Genomic DNA, 19421 nt, shown 5'->3' on the forward strand with positions numbered 1-19421 from the left:
AGAATCTACAAGGAACTAAAATCAACAAGCTAAAAACAACCCCATTAAAAACCAGGCAAAGGACATGAACAGACGCTTCTCAAAAGACGACATACAAGCGCCAACAAACATGATAAAATGCTCAACATCACATCTGAGAAATGCAGATCAAAACCACAATGAGATACCATCTCACACCAGTTAGAATGGCTATTATTAAAAAGTCAAAAAACAGCAGATGCTGGTGAGGCTGTGGAGAAAAGAAAACACTTATATACTGTTGGTGGGAGTGTAAATTAGTGCAGCCACTGTGAAAAGCAGTTTGGAGATTTCTCAAAGAACTTAAAACAGAACTACCATTTAACTCAGCAATCCCATTGCTGGATATATATCCAAAAGAAAATAAATTGTTCTACCAAAAAGACACATGGACTGGTGTGTTCATTGTAGCACTATTCACAATAGCAAAGAGATGAAATCAACCTAAGCTTCCATCACCGGTGGACTGGATAAAGAAAATGTGGTGCATCTGTATCACCAGTACTTCACAGCCATAAAAAGATGATATCATGTCCTTTGCAGCAACACGGATGGAGCTGGAGGCCGTTATCCTAAGCAAATTAACGCAGGATCAGATACCACATGTTCTTGCTTGTAAGTCGGAGCTAAACATTGGGTACACATGGACATAAAGACGGGAACAACAGACACTGGGAACCGCAAGAGACGAGAGGGAGGAAGGATGTGGGTTAAAAAACTACCTATTAGGTACTATGCTCACTACCTGGGTGACAGGTTCAATCGAGCCCCAAACCTCAGCATCATGCAATACACCCTTATAACAAACCCACACATGTACCCCCTAAATCTAAAATATTTATATAAGTTGAATGTTTTTAAAAAGAATAGGGGCTAGTGGGGCAATGATTGTACAATTATGTGAAGGTACTGAATGCCACCAAACTGGACATTTAAAAATGGTTAAGACGGTGACTTTTATATGATATATATTTTAACACAGTTTCAAAAAGAATAGGAGCTGGGGACACTGTCCAAGCTCTGTTCGGTGGTATAACCCCCAGTGCCCCACAGGCACCACAGCTGCACATGGAGCTATGTGTTATCTTTCCTGGATGCTTCCACCAGCTGAGAATATGTCAGTTTTGAGGCAGATGTGTTTGTTGGAGGACTGGGGGTAGGTATCATCTATATGTCTTCTCCCGGCCCTGTCCTGGAGCAGGGGCCCTTATGTAGAAATTGGGTACTTAGCTCTTCTGGCCCTCCCTGCACCCCATGGCATCCTTGGTGTTCCCCTGGGTCAGGGACTGAGGACAAAGTCATGGATAGGCCTGTTTCTCAGCACTGCAGGTCATCATTCTGTCCTCTGTTCACTGCCTGTCTCCCTATTCTGACTCACAGCTGGACTCGCACCTTCCATGAAATCAAAGTTAGCTGCTGTTACTTTTTGCTTGGGAACATGTCCTTCCTGCCTCTGCCAATCTCTTTGACATCTAGGTGCTCAAGGGAAGCTTCCCTTGTAAGATCTCTGAGGAGCCATAGGTTATTTCTGCAGAGTCCCTGAACTGCTCCTGTTCCACCCACTCTGGTTCCTTATTTTGTCCCCAACCACACTAACATGGGCAGTGTCTGGGCCTCCAGCTGTCAGCTTATATGTCCTATTCCTCACTCTCCATCCCATAGCTGTGGCCACCATTGCCTAGCTTGATTTTGGCAGTTTGTCCCTAAGACTAGCAGTCCCCAAGAAAGGTTCCAATACATGTGTCATCTCTATCTTTCACCCCCGAACTAGAATCAATGGCTGCCAAACATCAAAAGTACGAGGTAAAAATCCAATGGTCTTGTTTCTGGCCCACTGTGGGTATGCAACAGGAAATTCATGTGCGCCTTCACTGCTCTTTTTCTCAGGGACATTCTCCCAGCATGTTAGCAAGGCCCAGTTAAATTCCTCAGGGTGAGGGTCCCCTTGGAGAAGGGAGTGAGTTGGTGTGGATTTCTGTACTCAAGGTAGAGCACTTCCAATAACCAGGAGCTCTGGGCATCCCGCCCCTGATCTGGGCAAATCTGGCATGAAGTCTACACACTAAAAATAGCTTTCCCAGCACAGGAAAGCAATGGTAGAGGCTTCCTGATCTGGCTTGCACACCACAGGTGAAGTAATTGGTCACTTACCAGTGTCTCCCCACTTAGATTCCAAAGTCCACTGTATCAATGACATCATGCTAACAACTGGATGAGCAAGACATGGCAGAGATTTTAGAGGCCTTTGAAAGACATAAGCACTTCAGAGAGTGGTAGATTAAGCCCACGAAGATTCAGAGACCTTCCATATCAATGAAGTATTTAAGGGGCTACTGGTCAGGGGCATGCTAGGACCAACCCTCCAAAGTCAGAGGCAAATGATTGTATCTCACACCTCCTACAACTAAGAAGGAAGCACAATGCCATGTAGGCCTCTTTGGGTCTGGAAGCAGGGGACCAAGGGGTGAAATGACCCCACTTATTATCTCTCCTAGTGATCCACATGGGAATTTGTGCTTCCTGTCCCCACAATACAGTCACCACTAGCCAAATTCATCTATTTAAATTTAAATTAAGATAAAATTAGTTGTTATTTTATCTGAATTTTAGATAATTAAAATTCAGTTCTTCAGACACACCAGGTACATTTCAAGTACTCAGTAGGCACATGCAGCTAGTGGCTACCTTATTGAACAGTGGATCCTGGCTATTCAAATGGAAATGCTTCCACCAGTAGACACAGTAGGAGCCCCACTGAATTACGAGCCATGGCTGATAACTGAATTACAAGTCATGGGAACCTTGGGTTCATTCCTCCTGCTATGGCTGTGGGACTAAGCAGGTGTAAAGAAGAGTAGCCACTCTGTCAGGGGTATTGGCTCTGATCATCAGGAGGAGGCAGGGTTGTTCTTACACACTGTGAACAGAGAAGGATATATTTGGCACCCAGGTGATCCATTTGAATGTCTCCTAATAATTCCCTGCCCAATTTTTATGGTAAATGGACACATGCAATTTCCACAGTCTGAGAAGGGCACGGGGACCATGGGCTCAGAAACAATCCTCAGGGATAAAGGTCTGTTACTCGACCAGCCAGGTCACTGAGAACGGCAGACATGGTGGCTGAGACTGAGGGTACTCTAGAATGGATAGTAGATGAAGAAGACCATGAGCATCAGTTGTGGCTTCAAAGCCAGCTGCAGTCATGCAGGCCATACACCGTCCCACTACCCTGCCTCATGTTCACCTCCCTAGGAAAAGGGCCAAGCCAAACCCTGGAGAAGTTATTCCCAAATGAGGGGAGCATCCTGTGTGAAGCAAGCCCATCTGAGGCCTGCAAGGCATGGGCTGTAGTCAATGCTGTGGTCGTTCCACAGCCCAGCCTAATGGTGGAGGTCATCATTCCACTGCCTGCCAAAGGTGTTGCTTGATGATGGCACATAACTAAGTCTCTCTCCAAATATCAGTCAAGGGGTCAATGAAGGGTGGAGAGTACCAACACCTGGACTCCAGCCTCTACTTGCAACATCTCTATAGAATCTTCCCAACCATAGAGCTCCCTCAGGGACTGACTGAGACGTCTGATTCAACTGTCATAAAACAACTCCACTTTCCTCCCAATTCTACTTCCCTCACTCTATTACAGGTGGTTTCTTTTTTTTTCTTTTTTTTTCTTTTTGAAATGGAGTTTCACTCTTGTTGCCCAGGCTGGAGTGCAATGGCGCAGTCTCGGCTCACCACAACCTCCACCTCCCGGGTTCAAGCGGTTCTCCTGCCTCAGCCTCTTGAGTAGCTGGGATTACAGGCATGCACCACCACACCCAGCTAATTTTGTATTTTTAGTAGAGATGGGGTTTCTCCATGTTGATCAGGCTGGCCTCGAACTCCTGATCTCAAGTGATCCACCTGCCTCAGCCTCCCAAAGTGCTGGGATTACAGGCATGAGCCACTGTGGCTGGCTACAGGTGTTATTTTCCAAAGCACATGTCCTATCCTTTCAAGTTGCAGGGATGAACTAGTGAAGGCCCCAAACATTGACCAACTGGCATCCCACAGCCTCCTCTTCCAGAATGCCTTTGCGCAGGTATGTCTGGGAACCTCTAGCTGTGGGTGTGTGCTGCTTCGTGCACTGAGGGTTGGGGGCGGGGAGCTTCAGCTACTGTCAGATGGCACAGATTGTGCGGGACATCTTGTTAGAGGGAAGCATAGTCTGGAAAATGGTAGTGGAGAAAATCTGGTTTTCCACTCATGGGAAAGCTTGACCTTCAAGGGTGGCCTTCTCCTTGGGTGCAAGGTGCGCCCTGGCCCTGATGTGTTCATGGCAGCCCTGGCCAGCTTTCTCCCAGAACGGGCGCTTGCCTGGTGCTCAGAAGGAAGGGGTGCTGCAGAAGGGCACCCACAGGTCTGCAGACTGGGCCTCAGGTGAGAGCTAGCCAGGGTGGCTCTGCTCCCTGGACCCCCTCATGGCTCTGCCCCCAGCAACACTGGCCGCTCTGTGTGCCTGGGGAGGCCATTGCGTAGGAGGAGATAAGCAACTGCTGGTTTCAGGGGCTGATTGCTTCCCTTTTCTCTCCCGGAAGCAGTCTGTTGCCTAGGTGACACCCAAATCCCAGTGTCTGGTTTGAGCTCTGCATGACTCAGCTACCAAGCTGTTTGCTAGGGGCCTCGGGAGGGCGGTTGCTTGGTTACCTAAGAGATGGCAGACATGTTTTGCTGTGGCGATGCTTACCTCTGCTTCTGCTCCCTAACAGCAAGCAGTGTGCGCCCCGAGCCGCGTTTCTTTCCTCACTGGCAGGAGACCTGACACCACCCGCCTGTACGACTTCAACTCCTACTGGAGGGTGCACGCTGGAAACTTCTCCACCATCCCCCAGTACTTCAAGGAGAATGGCTATGTGACCATGTCGGTGGGAAAAGTCTTTCACCCTGGTACTGCTCCACGTCCAGAGTCTGGGTTCTCTTGGTTTGTGGTGTCTGAATCCAGCATTCCCATCCTGGGGATGGGGCTGTCTTTGCAGAGCCCTCTTCTGGCTGGGCGAGTCCTTCGCTAGTCAGTGCTTCCTTTCTAAAAAACCGACTTGTCAACCCAGCCACATGTTTTCACCCAAAGTGAAAAAGGGTAGAAAGAACTTTGCTTCCTTTCAGAAACCACTGAGGGTGTGCTGTTGGGTCCTTCAGCTCCTCGGGTGGTAGGGAGGACACAGGCTGGGGAGGTGGCAGTGTTGGGTGGAGTCCAGCTCAGGGCCCCACCCTCTCCCCTGCAGGGTACCTGTCAGTAAACCTAGGGGTGGGGTGAGGACACCTGAGGGCCTCCCGTGTGGCCAGCATTGCTGTTGCTGACTTATTGCCCAGTGAGGGGGCTGTGCTTAGGTGGGGGCTGCTATCCACTCTGTGAATTAGGTCAGAAAGATGAGTGTAATCTGGTTTCTGCACCTGGTCTCAGAAGCTCCCAGGTCTGGGAATGGGAAAGCGCACTTCAACAGGTGTCTCAGGTGGTCTGGCCACCTCTCTTTGAGTTCATCCTTCCCTTGGCCTACCTGTGCTGCCACATCCTCATCTTGGGCCTCTGGGGCAGAAGCTAGAAACCTCTGGGCATGGGATTTAACAGGCTGCCTGAGCTGGCTGTCAAGGTCACTGGGCTCTTGTTCCTCCTGATCTCAAGATGGATCCTTGGGGCCCACACAGGCATGCGTTCTCCTTAGCCAGACTTCCCCGTATTTGCTCCTGGCTGCAGCAGCACAGGCTGAGGCCCGGCACCAGATGTTCAATACGATCTTGCAGTCAGGCGGTCCACAGCTATTTCTGTAGCATTTGCCATGTGTCAGACCCTGTGCCAGGCCTGGGGGCCCCCTCTGCCTGGTGCAGGGCAGCTCACAAAAGCTGGCAGAGGCCGAAGGCTGCGTGCCAGTATTCAGAATGCCACAGAGCGCCTGGCTGCTGTACCTTCAGAGCCTCCACAGGCACCCCAGTCAGAGTTCCGGGAGTGGATTCCTGAGGTCGCACTGCCGGGGTCCCTCACGTTGCCATCCTGCAGGCTTCTCGATCCTCGACCTTTTAGATTCCCGCCACACTGAATCTAAAAGGGACAATGTGACCTCTAAGCTGGTGGCCTAGGAGCCTGCCGATAACCTACCCATTCATCAGCCCTCGTGGGTCAAGGCTGCCTCGTCCTCCCCGAGAGAGTGGAGAGGTCGAGCAGTGGGGATGCCCCTCAGGCCCCGGGGCTTACTGACTGGGGCGGGTGTCAGGGGGAACTCCCTCTCTTTCTGAGCTTCACTGAGCTATCTGAAAGTCCCCACCATACTCCCCAGTACTGACAGCCAGAGGGAGGAACGGCTCACCAGAATCATTGGGCATCTCTGATGGGCATCAAGTCTGCTTTGATTATTGATGAGTGGGTAAGAGGGTCCTCTCAACTTGGGGTCTCCTTGGGAAAGCACTGTCAACTCAGAACAGGTTTCAGCCCTGTTCTGGAGACCACAGGCCCTGGAAGGCTGGGACATCATTTGCAGCCCCAGCGTCATCTATTAGACGGAGCCAGCAAGGTCTCATGCTGTGCGGTACATTTCAACACTTTCTCAAATTTACCCGTGGCAGCTTTTGGTGTGTTTGGTTATTTTTATAACACTACTCACTGTACAATTTCTGTCATGCACATTTTTTGTATCAAAAAGGGTGCTGTAACTTTAAAAGACTGGGTATTTCCAACTTGGAATATTCAAACCATCTTTTGCAAGGGATGTTTTAAATCAACATGAAGGGTTGTGTTGTTTTTAATCAGGGTTAAGGATCTGGAATCAAAGGTTATGGTTTACTCCATCTATGGCGTATCTTAAAAACTGAGCAAGATGTCCTTGCCTTTTTTGAATTTGATGATTGTGCTGCAGTTCCACAGCTCACTGTTAGGTGGCACATACCCCAAACTGAAAACCTGAGCTTGGAGGAAATGAGTGAAAAGATAGGTAGGTACAGGACAGGGCAGTGGTGACACTACAGCATTCAGGGTTCCCAGCCTGTCAAGAATGAGCATGTCTTAGCAGTGAGGCATTTCCACATCTTCTCAAATCCACCTGTGGCAGTTTTTGGTGTCTTTGGTTATTTTTATAACCCTAAATATTTATATACAATTTATATACATGTACAAAAGGGACATGTACATTATATATTTTGATACAAAATATGCACAAGTACATATTTTGTATCAAAAAAAGGTTCTCAGGAGAATTCCACTTCCATTAAGCTGGAGTAGACATACTTTTCCCTATTCTTCCGACTAAGTGACCTAAAACCCCTTGATAATATACACAAAACAAACATAAGACTCTGAAAGGTGGAGTGAAGGCAGATCAGACGGGGACCTTGTGACCTGAGGAACAATGGAGTTAATTAGTTCTCTGGTGTGTGTCTCTCTCTCTTTCTTTCTTTCCCTCTCCTCTCCTTTCCCATTCCTCCCTTCCCCTCTCTTTTTCTCTTTCTTTTCCTCTCTTTCCCCTTCCCTCTCTTCCTCTCTCTCTCCCTCTCCTCTCCTTTCCCCTTCCTCCCTTCCTCTCTCTCCCTCTCTCCCTCTCCTCCTCTCTTTCCCTCTCCTCCTCTCTTTCCCTCTCCTCTCCCCTTCCTCCCTTCCTCTCTCTCTCTCTCTCTCCCTCTCCTCCTCTCTCTCTTTCCCTCTCCTCTCCTCTCCTTTCCCCTTCCTCCCTCCCTCTCTCTCTACCCTCTTTCTTTCCCTCTCCTCTCCTTTCCCCTTCCTCCCTTTCTCTCCCGTCCTCTTTCTCCCTCTCTCTTTTCTTTCTTTGCCCATATATACCAGACATGGAGCTGAAGGAGCTGGGATCTAGAAATGTCAACAAACACAGAGGAAAGAAGAAAGAAGGAATGAAGGAAAAGAGGGAGGAAAGGGGGACGGGAAGGGAGGGAGGAAAGAAGGACCAAAGCCAGAGGACCAGGAAAGTTGTGACTTAGCAAGATAGAAAACTTTTAGACAGTGAGCTGCTTTACTCTAGTTAACACCACAGAAATATAGTTTGATCCCCACTTCCACACATGCCAGCAAAGGCCAACTAGGGGGCTCAGTGTAACATGCTTGCTAAGCTGTAACATCCCTCCTGTCTACCTTGGTGCTGTCGGAGGTGGCCAATTAGGGAGCTGGCACTTTCATCCCTGCCAGGCAACAGCAAGTCCCCATCCCCTAAGGTGTCTGTGCAGGTGATATTGGATACAGTGCTGAAAAATATCGAACCCTCCCAGCCACAAAGGTATGAGTACAGCCCCAGATCAGATCCAAAAAGTCCACTCCTGCCCAGCAGAAACAAGGAGCCCCTCACCCATTTCAGGGATCAATGGAGGCCATGTGGCGAAGGTAGACTACTGCACTCACCACGCAGTAATGCAGCGTGTTCCTTCCCTTTCTTCTGCTGGAGTGATGTCAGAGGATGCCAGCTAAAACAAAGTTTAAATAACACCTTCAACCTACTAACATAATATGAAAATCTCTAGATTTCAATCAAAAGTTACACATCATACCCAGAACCAGGAAGATCTCAAATGGAATGACAGGATACAATCAAGAGATGTCAACACTGATGACAAAGATGTTAGAATTATCTGTAAAAAAATTGAAAGCCACCATTATATGCTTCATTAAGCAATTAAGAACGCATTTGAAACAAACTAAAAATAGAAAGTCTCAGCCAAAAAAAAAATAAATAAATAGAAGACATAATGAAGAACCAAATGGAAATTTTAGAACTGAAAAATACCATAACTGAAATTTTAAAAACTCTATAAAGGAATCACTGGCAGAATAGACAGAACAGAGGAAAGAACCAGTGAACTTGAAGACAGAACAGAAATTTCCCATTCTGAAAAATGAATAGAAAATGCATGGGAAAACAAGATGGACAGAGCTTTAGGGACCTGTGGGACTATGAACAATGATCTCACATCTGTGTCATAAGGGTTCCAGGGGAGATGGGAAAAAGTGTGGGGCTGAAAAATCAAAGAAGCAATGGCTGAAAATTTCCCAAATTTGACAAAAGACATAACTCTGCAGACTTCAGAAGCTGAACGAATCCCAAAGAGAATAAATCCAAAGAAATTCCACACTAAAACACTTGAGTTAAACTTCTGAGAACTATTAAATAAAAACAAAAAAAAATTAACTGAGCATGGTAGCTCATATCTGTAGCCCTAGCTACCTGGGAGGCTGAGGTGGGAGGATTGCTTGAGCCCAAAAGTTCAAGGTTACAGTCAGCTATGATTGCAATGCTGCTCTGCAGCCAGGGCAATGAAGGGAGACCCTGTCTTTAAAATAATAATAATAATGATAATCATTAAAAAAAAAAAAAAATCTTGGAAGCAATGCGAGAGAAATGACACCTTACCAAACCATGGATACCAAAAGGAAGTGGCACAACTTTTTTCAAGGGCTTACAGAAAATAGCTTTCACCTGGGTGCAGCGGCTCACACCTGTAATCCCAGCACTTTGGGAGGCCAAGGCAGGCGGATCACCTGAGGTGAGGAGTTCAAGACCAGACTGACCAACATGGTGAAACCCTGTCTCTACTAAAAATACAAAAATTAGCCATGCGTGGTGGCATGCATGCACCTGTAATCCCAGCTACTTGGGAGGCTGAGGCAGGAGAATTGCTTGAACTCAGGAGGCAAAGGTTGCAGTGAGCAGAGATTGCCCCATTGCACTACAGCCTGGGCCACAGAGTGAGACTCTGTCTCAAAAAAAAAAAAAAAACTTTCAACTCAGAATCTTACATCCTGTGAAAGCATCCCTCCAAAATGACATTCCATGGCCACATAGGTTTGAAAACCATGTTCTAGACTAACCAGTTCATTTTCTAGATAGCACAACTGAGATTATTCAAAGAACATACAGGATTTTTCCAAGATCACATTGCAGTCCCTTGAACACTGTTGGAAATCTCTGAAATTTGCAAAGCTGAGAGACCAAAAAAAAAAAAAAATCTTTCATCAGTGTTGCTGGAATAATCTCCAACCTGTAAATGTAGAAGCAAATCTTGAGAACCTGAGTCCCAGAAAGAGACAACACAAGGTGCAAGGGTATGTCCCAGCAACAGCCCTGTGACATGAGTGGCATTTGTACCTCCTGGTTTATAGGAGTGGAGGAGACACAGAGAGACGAGTAACCAACAAGGTCACACAGGAAGACAAAGAGCTAACATTCAAACCCAGGTCTGCTAGACACCAAAGCTCAGGCTCTGGGCCTCATTGTTACATACCTCATGGCCATTCTCAGCCTTTCTGTGTGTCTCTATGCATTGCTCCAGCATATGAACTACAAGGACCCAGAGGATGCAAACAATGGGCTCCTATGTCAATGCCTGGGCTGACCCATACAGGCCATTTGTAAAGAAAATGCAAACAGTGTTGCCATGTTTTCATGGTACCAAGCATTAGGAATTTGGGTTTGTTTTAACATCCATTGTTCTATATCTGAAATCTGATGTAAAATGCCTTGGGAAAGTTAGAAAGATGAAGAAGGCAGGAATGGTTAGAGGAGGGAAAGGACAGAGGAAATAGTTTACAATGTATGGACATATTCGTCTTAGCACCTCAAACTTACACTCACATCCCCCAAGAACTACACAGAACTTTCTGCCATGGAAGCCACTCACTGATCATGACTCTCATCACAGCCCACCTTTAATTAAAAGTGAAGCTGTATGAGTCAGCCAGCAGATGGCAAAATGAGGAACCAAGGAACATATGACTAAGGTCAAACATTAGCTGGTGTCATTTCATAAATGAAGTGGGCCTCTTTCCTAAAGCTTTTTCCAAGTATCATCTGCAAATGTTCCAGTTGGGTGCTACAACATGCAGAGGCCACCCTGTCTCATCGTCTTGTCTTCACCACCCACCCTTCTCTTTCAAAGGCAGTATGATCAGACACAGTAGACGGGGGGCCTATCCTACCAAATCCCACCTGGCCCTGGATGCTGCAGCTTAGGGCATCCAAGAGCCCACCAGGGCAAGCCTGCACTGTACCTTCTTTCTCTGGGTTGTCAGTGGCAGGCCACTCTGCTCAGGCCTGCCAAGTGAGGGTGGTACACTGGGCAAATCAACTTTCTGGTAGAAGCACAGGAACATCTGGCCCCAACACTCTTCTCTCCCTCTGCCTACCCCACAGTAATCCTCAGAACCTAGAGACCTAATGACAACTCTCCAAACTTCATTCTAAAGTCAGGAACAAGAATTGGAAACCTCATCACAAGTCAGAAGATTGAGACATGCTTAAGGTTACTACCTATGTGTTCAGATTAGCAAGGACAGGAGCACACTGTAGGTACCAACCGCTTATCCATGGAAGGCTGCTCCTGAGCTGCACTGGGCTGCATGTTATATTTGTGTGCCTGTTGTCTACAAACACTCCTATCCCATCAGAAGTACACAAGGGTTTGTCAGATGACTTACTGGCCACGAGTGAATCAATGAATTCTTCTCAGGAAGAGAACCAGTTTGCCTTTTAAAAATGCTGACAGTGAAACCCAAGTGAGGAAACTCACCTGCTGCACCCAGCGTGCAGCCCACACTCCTTCAGTGGTCCTTTAGGAGTTGGAACCAATCTAGTTTCCCAGCCTCTTCTCCCATGACTTCACTCTACGAATGCGTCTGCTCCAGCCACGAACCTTCTCTGGGCTCCTCGAATGTACCTAACCCTTTCAGGCTGTCCTTCCCCCATTTCCCACCTAACAAAACCCTTTTGACCTTCAAGGCCCAGCTCAAACACCCCCTCCTCTACGAAGCCTCCCCCAGCCCCCTGCCCAGAGTGAGCAGTTCCTTCCTCTTCACATTCACCTAACTCCTCTTGCCTGTAAGATGCCCCCTTACAAGTAACAAAGACATGAGTGTGCACCTACCTTCAAGGAGCCTCTTTCAGGAGGGGGCCTGGCTTCCATCTGCTTTCTGACATACTTTGCATGGAGATCTGCCCTCTCCTGCCAGGCTGTGCTCACACCAATACCAAGAGATCACGAGACGCCCTGCCAGCAAATGCCCTGGAAGCACATCCCCTTCATGCCCCTGGCAGTCATCTAATGTACACACAAGATCAAAGCAGCTCTCAGGTGGCCTGTTGCAGGGCACAGCACAGTTCTGCCTATGCCAAGGCAGATGCTGGGCCCTTCCCTATTGTGTTCAGCACGCACCCATTCTCCAGGGCACCTTTTCTGAGCATTAATTTATCCAGTCAGTTAATATGGATTGCACAGCCTGCTATATGCCAGGTACCATGTGGACCCCATCACCCGTACCCAATGCAGGCCCCTCTAGTGGGCAACCCTTGCTCCACACCTCCCTGTTGGGCTGCTCGAGACTGTCAGGTCGGGCTCAACCTGCTCTCCAGCCCTGTTTCCTTCCTATCCCTTTCCTGAGTGTTAGTTAGCCCCAGTAAATCTTTGGCCCTGCCAACTCCCTCTCATGGTCTGCTTCCTGGAGGACACAATCTGAGACAGTGGGTTCCAGAGTGGTCTGAGAAAGCAGGTGGTAAAATGGGGTCTTGGTACAGGATTGCCCCGCATCTGCCCAACTGGCAACAAGGTTCCCATCTTCGGGAGTAGGTGGCACGCAGGCGGCTCCAGGCACAAGATGGCAGGCTAGTTGCCAGACCTTTGGTGTTAGAACTTTTGCTGGGATGGCCGGCTTGTGGAGAGGAAGTTCCTGGCAGGTGAGGAGATCCAGGCAGGGCGGATGCCTGGAAATGAAAACTCAGAGAACAGACAGTGGTGAGTATATTTCCTGGATGACCCACAGGGGATTAATGAGAGGCCAAGAGCAATTAACAAACATCTAAAAATTAAGCAGAAACACTGGAGTCTTCCTGGTGGTTTACAAAGTAGCCCCCGATCCAGGCAATGGGCGAGCAGCAAAATCTGAAGAACAAACCCAGGACTTGCTAAGGTGGCTGAACTCCGAAGACGGGTGAACGCTCAGCCAAGGCAGGTCTGTCATGCCAATGACACCAGCCCTGTTGGGAAAACCTGTGTCCCTGATACATGGAACAGGCACATCTAGGAGAAGGTCTCTGAATATCTGGTCTCCCCAGATGCCCTTGAAACTTCTGAGCCCGCAGCATCAGCCCACCCCCTCCCATGAAGCGCTGCAGGCACCCTATCCCGAAGGAGAAATAAATAACACAAGAATTTTCCCCACAGGTGTCCTCCCTCCCAGGAGTGGCCCTCACCTTATCACTGGCTGCCAGGTAGGGTGACCAACAGTCCCAGTTTGCTGAGTGAATTGCAGTGCTAAAAGCCGGCGAGTCCCAGGGAAGCAGGACGAATTGGTGAGCCGACTGCCAGACCCGTGACCAGAGTGAAGGTGCAGCGCAGCGCCATGCAGGCAGGGTGTGCTGGGTCTGGGAAGGGGGAAAGCGATGACACCCTCGAGGAGCTGCAGGATCAGCATGCACCTGCAGCGGCCAGGGGGGGTCCCTGTGGGATGGGACCCGGATGCAGCTCAACCAGTGGGGACTTGGAGGCACTCTGCTGCTCAACACAACTGAATGCCCTGGTAGGGAGCCGAAGGGATGGGGCAAACCTGTTGATGGCATGGGATGGGCAACAGTGATGGTCCAGGCCTGAGTGACAGTGAAAGGCCCGAATTGTCACAGCAGACAGTGAAGGAAGGGATTCAAAGGCTAAGCAAAGTGAGCTTGCTGGAACTGGACAGAAGAGGTGAGGCCAGAAGACACCCCGGAGGATCAGGTTTCAGGAGAGGACCCAGAGGACACATGTGTCAGCAAGGGCATCAGGAATGTGCTGCAGAGAGGGCGCCAGCATCCTTCAGAGATCCAGCGCGGGAATCCTCTGCAGGCCAGGGCTGACCACAGGAGAGTGTCTTGCAGAACGGGGCGCACCGAGAACTGGAACCTGATAAGGGTGATGCAGCTTCGTCCTCCTCCTCGTTTCCTTCTCCTCCTCTCCTCCCCTCTTCCTCCTCTCCTAATTCTCTCTTCCTCCTCTCCATCTGCTGTCCTTCTTTCTTCTTCCTCCTCATTTCCTCCTCTTACTCTCCTCCTCCTCCCACCTCCTGCTCTCCTTCTCCTCTCCTCCTCCTCATCCTCTCCTCTCTCTCTCCTCTTCTCTCTTCTTCCTACTTTTCTCCTTCTCATTTCCTTCTCTCTTCCTCTCCTCCTTCTCTTCTCTCTTCCACCTCCTCCAACTCTGTTCCTCCTCCTCTCCTCTCCACTCCTCCCCCACCCCCTCCTCCTTTTCCTCTGCTCCTCTTATTCCACTCTTCCTCTTCCTCCTTTCCTCCTCCTCCTCTCCTCCTGGTCCTCCTTTCTTCAGCCTCCTCCTCTCTGCTTTCTCCTCTTCTCCGCCTTCTCCTTTCTTCCTCCACCTCTCCTCTTCCTCCAAATCTCCTCCCCTTCCTCTCCTTCTCCTCCTCCTCTGCTCCTCCTCTCGTCCTGTCCTCCTCCTCCTACACCTCTCCTTTCCTCCCTCCTATTTCTCTCCTTCTCCCTTCCTCCCCGTCCTCCCCCCTCCTCTCCTCCTCTTTTCTCTCACTCCTCCTCTTCTCCTTCTCCTGTTTTCTCTTCCTCCTCCCCCCTCATCCCTCTCCTCTCCTTTTCTCCTCCTCTTTCTCATTTCCTCCTCTCCTCGACCTCCTCTCCTCATCTGCCTCTCCTTCTCCTTCTGTCCTTCTCCTCTCCTCCTACTCCCCCCTCCTCCTCCTTACTTGCTCTTCTAGTCCTCTTCCTCTTCTTCCTTCTTTGCTGCTCCTCCTCCTCTTCTCCGTCTCCTCCTCTCCTCTTTCTTCTCTTTTCTGTGTCCTCCTCTCTTCCTTCACCTCTTGTCCTTGGTCTCATCTCCTCCTCCTCTCCTTCTCCTCCTCCTTCCCTCCTCCAACCCACTCCCTCTCCTCCCCCTCCCCCTCCTTTTTTCTTCCCTCCTCCTCCCTTCCAGCTCCTATTCCTCCACTTTACCTCTCTCCTCCTGCTACACCACACGTTCACATGACCCTGTGTGAGTCCAGGGCAGAAAAGTAAAGCTAAAAGGCGGACAAATGAATGCAAGAGAGCAAAAAAGGGAACCCTCTCTAATCTAATGGGCAGGGCACTGGACACATGCGAGCACCTCCTCTGTGGGAGAGGGGTCACTGCCTCCAGATGGAGGGGCAGTGGGACACTCCATGACCTCTGGGGTTACTTACAATTTGGAGTGCTTAAGTGAATACTGACTTCAAAACAGCCCTGCAAAAGATGTAAGAACAAGCCCCTGAGCAGACGAGGTCTCTGAAATACAAAAAGCCAACATGGGGTTAGAGGCAGAATTCAGAAAGAGCTCCTACAACTCCATATCAACAAGGCAAGTGACTCAATAGAAAAATGAGCAAAAGCCATTTCCTAGACGAGGAAAGCAGGCTGACCAAAAAGCATCTGAAGGGAAACCATGAATCAGGGTCAAAGCGGTCCCAGACTGGCCGTGCCCCGGAACACTAGGCAGGATCAAATGTGAACCATCTCCAGAGAAGGGCAACTTCCTCCTGGGCCTCAGAGTCAAAAAAGCACAGTGAGGAGAGGTGGCTGCACTCTGGAAAGTGTCAGTGGGGAGGCAAAGGAAGAGGAAGGCGGTGACAGGCTCAGAAAACAGGAGGAGTTGCACGGAAATTAGGCTGAGCAAAAAGAATGCTTCTCTAGGGGAGCATGTGGGCAGAAGAGAAGGACTGCACAGCCGGGGATGCTGAGCACGGAGAGGCAAGGTGATGGCAAATTCGCAAGGGACAGCTCTAGCCAGGGAGGCTAGCCTGCCATGGAGGGAGAGGACAGAGCAGGAGAGGGCAGGGTTGGGGGCAGGGGGTGGGGGGGCAGGGTAGGGTAGGGAAGGGAAGCGGGGAGAGGGAAGGGGAGGGGAGGGGAAGGGATGGGAGGGGAAGGAAGGGGAGGTGAGGCTCAGAAGGCCACCGGGATGGACTGGGAGCTCTGCAGGGGGCTCCCTGGTGATGAGGAAGGAAGGAAGACCTGAGCGGGGGCTGTGGTTTCAGGAAGGAGGCAGTATCCTGGGGGAGGCAGGCAGAGGGTACAGTCAGCTGCAAAGCAGGATCTTTGGAAAAGGCAAGGACTTCCTAAAAGAGATATGATGTGTGGCACGATAGGCATGCAAGCAAGGCCTGAAGAAGCAAGCAGAACTTGAGGAGACACACCGCTGGCCCCAGGAGTGGGGGTCAGTTCAGTGTGTGCTACTGGGGTGCAGCCAGGCACAGTGGTTTCAAGGGAGCACAGCAAGGAACCCAAGAAGGCCCCGCATGTCTGCAGTTGGCTGACTATTGCCCGGGACTCCAGAGCATCCATGGAGGGCCCCACAGGGGAAGGCAGGAGCAGGACGGGTCTAGGGAGGTGAAGGCCGACCTGACCTGCTAAGAGACGAGAAGAGAGGGAGGGGAAAGTCTTGTTCCTGCCAGGACATTGTTAATGAGAGGAGTGAGAAGGCAGCAGGTGAAGAGAGTGTAGCATGGAAGGCAGAAATCAGAGCGTTTTTGGGTTTCGTGCTGACCTGCTATTGGGAATGAAAATCAAGACTCAGGTGCATTCTGGTCCCTTTCTCAGGGTTAGCCGAACACCACCCGCATCCCTGCCTGGCCTGTTGATGCCATTCTTCCTAGGCCCACTCACCGCTGCAGCTGCTTTACTTGCACTTCCTCTCCTCATCCGACCACAGATCAGACCTCTGCTTCTCGCTGCCGCCCAGGGAGAGTGTGCACCTACGTGCACATTGCACCCCACTGCCCAGCACACCCAGGAGTGAGAGTGAGGAGCAGCTGAGAGAGTTGGAAAAGGGAGCCCTTATGTGGCCACCAAGGGCTTCCCTGCTAGCAGCCACACGGTGGCTATCCAGCTCATTATGCGAGTTCTAGTTCTTCAAACAAGAGGCCACGGGAGGAGCAACGGCCACCCACCATCCCGGGGATCCTCATTCATGATTTGAAACCACTCTAAGCAGGTTCTGGGGTGTTCGGCAGAAGCTGGCAACCATTCTTGTGGGGAAGGAACCCAGGAGGGGATGCTAGCATGCATAGGAATTGGAACTGGTGATCTGAAGGTCCCCTGCAGCCCTACGGCCTACATCCCATAAAGAGGGACCCTCTCCTCCTCACCTCATCTCCAGCATTCCTGCTTCCTCGAGCTTCTCCAGGGAGAAGTAGGCGCATCTCACTAGAAAAAACAAGAAAGCAGCCCTTTGCTCATTCAACACTTACTAAGCAGATACTGTGCCCTGGGCACCCAGTTTCAGAAATGAGTAAAACACCGGCCTTGCCTTCAAGGAACTCAAGAGACCCTGCGGCAGCCACAAGTCTTACAGAGCAATTACCACCCTGGGTTGCAAGAGCCTAACGTGGGGTGGGGACGGGGGAGGTACAAAATGCTATCAGAGCTGGAGACGAAAGTCTCTAATACTCGGAGTGGGGCTGTGAAGGTGACTTTAAAGTTGTGCCTTGAAGGAGGCCAGGAGCGCACCAGGACAAGGCCATGGGAACCGCCGGTGCAAAGCAGGGAGACCTGGAACAGCAGGCTGGTGGGGACCAGTGACTGAACAGCACAGCGTGAACCCAAAGAGTGTTTGGCTTAAGGGTGGGGAGAGCTGAGCCGACTCCCTGAACTGCTAGGACTTAAACCTGAGAAGGCCCAGCAGCGTTTTCACTAGAGGATTGCTGGGGACAGATTTGTGACTTAGAAACTGAGCCGATGGAATGTGGACGACAGACCTGAGGGAAGAAAGACAGAGGACTCCAGGTTGCTCAGGAGGCTCATGGAACAGTGCAGGCTCCAGACCACGAGGCCTGAATTCTGGAAGTAGCAGCGGGGATGCAGGACGAGGAGCCGTTTTGTCTCATCAGGCACTCCAGAGGCAGGGACCCAGAACTTGGTTATGAAGTCAATGCGGGAGACTAGATAAGGGGAGGGACAGAGGAGTAAAGCATGGCAGCACTACAGAACCTGAGCCCGTGACTGAGAGAAGAGAGTTTGAAAAGCAAGTTTGCCAGGGAAGTTGGGCTGTGTGCTGGGCGACTTAGGTCGGAGGAGGCAAGACATTAAGAGTGGGGATGTTTCTCATCACCTGCAAAAGAGACGTTAAAGAGACGGTTCCTCCGGACCCCACTGGCAGGCACTGACAGAGCGGCTAGGACACAGGAGAGCAGGCCTGGGGGGCTCAGCCCTGCAAGACTCAGCCTAGAGCTGCATAGACCCCAGTCAAGTGTTCCCGCCCTTCTTGCTGCTTCCGTGCCCTATGGGGGTAGACACTGGAGGTGCAGTTAGGTCGCTGCGGGCAAGTTTTGACTCTTGCCTAAGGGTGCATCACAGAAGGGCCTCAGCTCCCTCCCCCAGCTCCACCCACAGCTCCACCCCCAGTTCGGCTCTGCTTCATTTCACCAGCATCTCCACCCCCAGCTCCTCCTCCGGCAGCTCCGCCCCAGCTGTTCCGCCCCCAGCTCTTCCTCCTCCCAGCACTTAACCAGTTCCACCCACAGCTCTTTCCCACAACTACGCCCTCCTCTTGCAGGCGGCTCCTCCAGAAGCTCTAACCCAGTTCCTGCTGCAGCCCCACCCTGCTCACCCTGCATCTCCAGTCCCAGCTCCGCCTCCTCTAGCCCCGTCCCGCTTCTCCTACCCCTCTGCCCACCCCAGCACCTTTCAGCTCTTTCCTCCAGCTCTGCACTAGCTCCTCCCCCACCATTCTCACCCGCCAGCCTTACTCCAGCTTGGCTCCCCCTTCTCCAGCAATTTCCCGCAGCCCCGCCCCATCTGCTCCCACACCTCTTTGCCACAGCCCCGCCCTGCTCCTCCTCCAGGAACGCCCGGCTTTCCCTCAGCTCCACGCTGCAGCTGAGCTGTGCACCAGGCCCTCCCACAGAGCTTTCTCGTGATTCCACCCTACACCTCCCCAAGCCCCCGCTCCCCTAAGCTGGTTCTCAGGAGTCCGAGGGGTCCTCCCGCAGCTGCTCCTCGCTCAGTTCTCCCATTGCCCCGCCCTGCTCTTCGCGGGGCTGCTTCCAAAGCCCCGACCTCAGCCAGCAGTTTCTCTCAGCCCCGCCCCTCCCTGCCCCGCCCCTCCCCTCCCTGCCCCGCCCCGCTTCTCCCGCGGCTGCTCCCAAAGCCCCGCCCTCGGCCCCCTCCCCAGCAGTTTCTCTCAGCCCCGCCCCACCCCGAGCCCCGCCCGCAGCCCCGACCTGCTTCTCCTGTGGCTGCCTCCAAAGCCCCGCCCCCAAACCTTCCCCAGCATTCTCAGCCCCCCCAGAGCCCCGCCTCTCCCAGCCCCGCCCTACTTCTCACGCAGCTGCTTTAAAAACCCCGCCCCCAGCCCCTCCCAGTGATTTCTTTCTCCCCCTCCCTCCTTCTCTCAGCGGACACCTGCCTCCCCCTGCTGATTCTCAAGAG

General features: G+C 51.1%; 1 long non-coding RNA gene and 1 pseudogene across 1 annotated transcript, besides 7 other annotated features; one reads left to right on the forward strand and one right to left on the reverse strand.

Moving 5' to 3' along the window:
- IDSP1 (iduronate 2-sulfatase pseudogene 1) lies at nt 4026-5443 on the forward strand (annotated as a pseudogene).
- Nucleotides 5191-6785: a non allelic homologous recombination region, noted in NCBI's record as "sub-region b', recombines with sub-region b within the IDSP1 recombination region". NCBI's record gives the evidence for it as "EXISTENCE:nucleotide sequencing assay evidence [ECO:0000219][PMID:9801874]".
- Nucleotides 5191-7880: a biological region, named in NCBI's record as "IDSP1 recombination region". NCBI's record gives its function as "recombination_partner: LOC106050102".
- Nucleotides 5500-7880: a meiotic recombination region, noted in NCBI's record as "meiotic double-strand break mapped by DNA meiotic recombinase 1 chromatin immunoprecipitation followed by single-stranded DNA enrichment and sequencing in the germ cells of some male individuals with PRDM9 A/A, PRDM9 A/B and PRDM9 A/C genotypes". NCBI's record gives the evidence for it as "EXISTENCE:chromatin immunoprecipitation-seq evidence [ECO:0000229][PMID:25395542]".
- Nucleotides 5707-6771: a non allelic homologous recombination region, noted in NCBI's record as "sub-region a', recombines with either sub-region a1 or a2 within the IDSP1 recombination region". NCBI's record gives the evidence for it as "EXISTENCE:nucleotide sequencing assay evidence [ECO:0000219][PMID:9097969]".
- EOLA1-DT (EOLA1 divergent transcript) lies at nt 6617-18778 on the reverse strand. Its single transcript, NR_027455.5, has 10 exons — nt 18727-18778; nt 17750-17932; nt 17141-17198; nt 16659-16804; nt 15200-15281; nt 12656-13400; nt 11908-12081; nt 8539-8619; nt 8393-8454; nt 6617-7384 (listed from the first exon to the last, which is right to left on the reverse strand). It is a non-coding gene; the product is annotated as an EOLA1 divergent transcript (long non-coding RNA).
- Nucleotides 18189-18268: a silencer, noted in NCBI's record as "silent region_21041". NCBI's record gives its function as "represses an Ori minimal core promoter by ATAC-STARR-seq in GM12878 lymphoblastoid cells {active_cell/tissue: GM12878}" and the evidence as "EXISTENCE:reporter gene assay evidence [ECO:0000049][PMID:35858748]".
- Nucleotides 19019-19328: a silencer, noted in NCBI's record as "silent region_21042". NCBI's record gives its function as "represses an Ori minimal core promoter by ATAC-STARR-seq in GM12878 lymphoblastoid cells {active_cell/tissue: GM12878}" and the evidence as "EXISTENCE:reporter gene assay evidence [ECO:0000049][PMID:35858748]".
- Nucleotides 19339-19408: a silencer, noted in NCBI's record as "silent region_21043". NCBI's record gives its function as "represses an Ori minimal core promoter by ATAC-STARR-seq in GM12878 lymphoblastoid cells {active_cell/tissue: GM12878}" and the evidence as "EXISTENCE:reporter gene assay evidence [ECO:0000049][PMID:35858748]".

Source organism: Homo sapiens, chromosome X (assembly GCF_000001405.40).
Source record: "Homo sapiens chromosome X, GRCh38.p14 Primary Assembly".
NCBI classification, from domain to species: domain Eukaryota; kingdom Metazoa; phylum Chordata; class Mammalia; order Primates; family Hominidae; genus Homo; species Homo sapiens.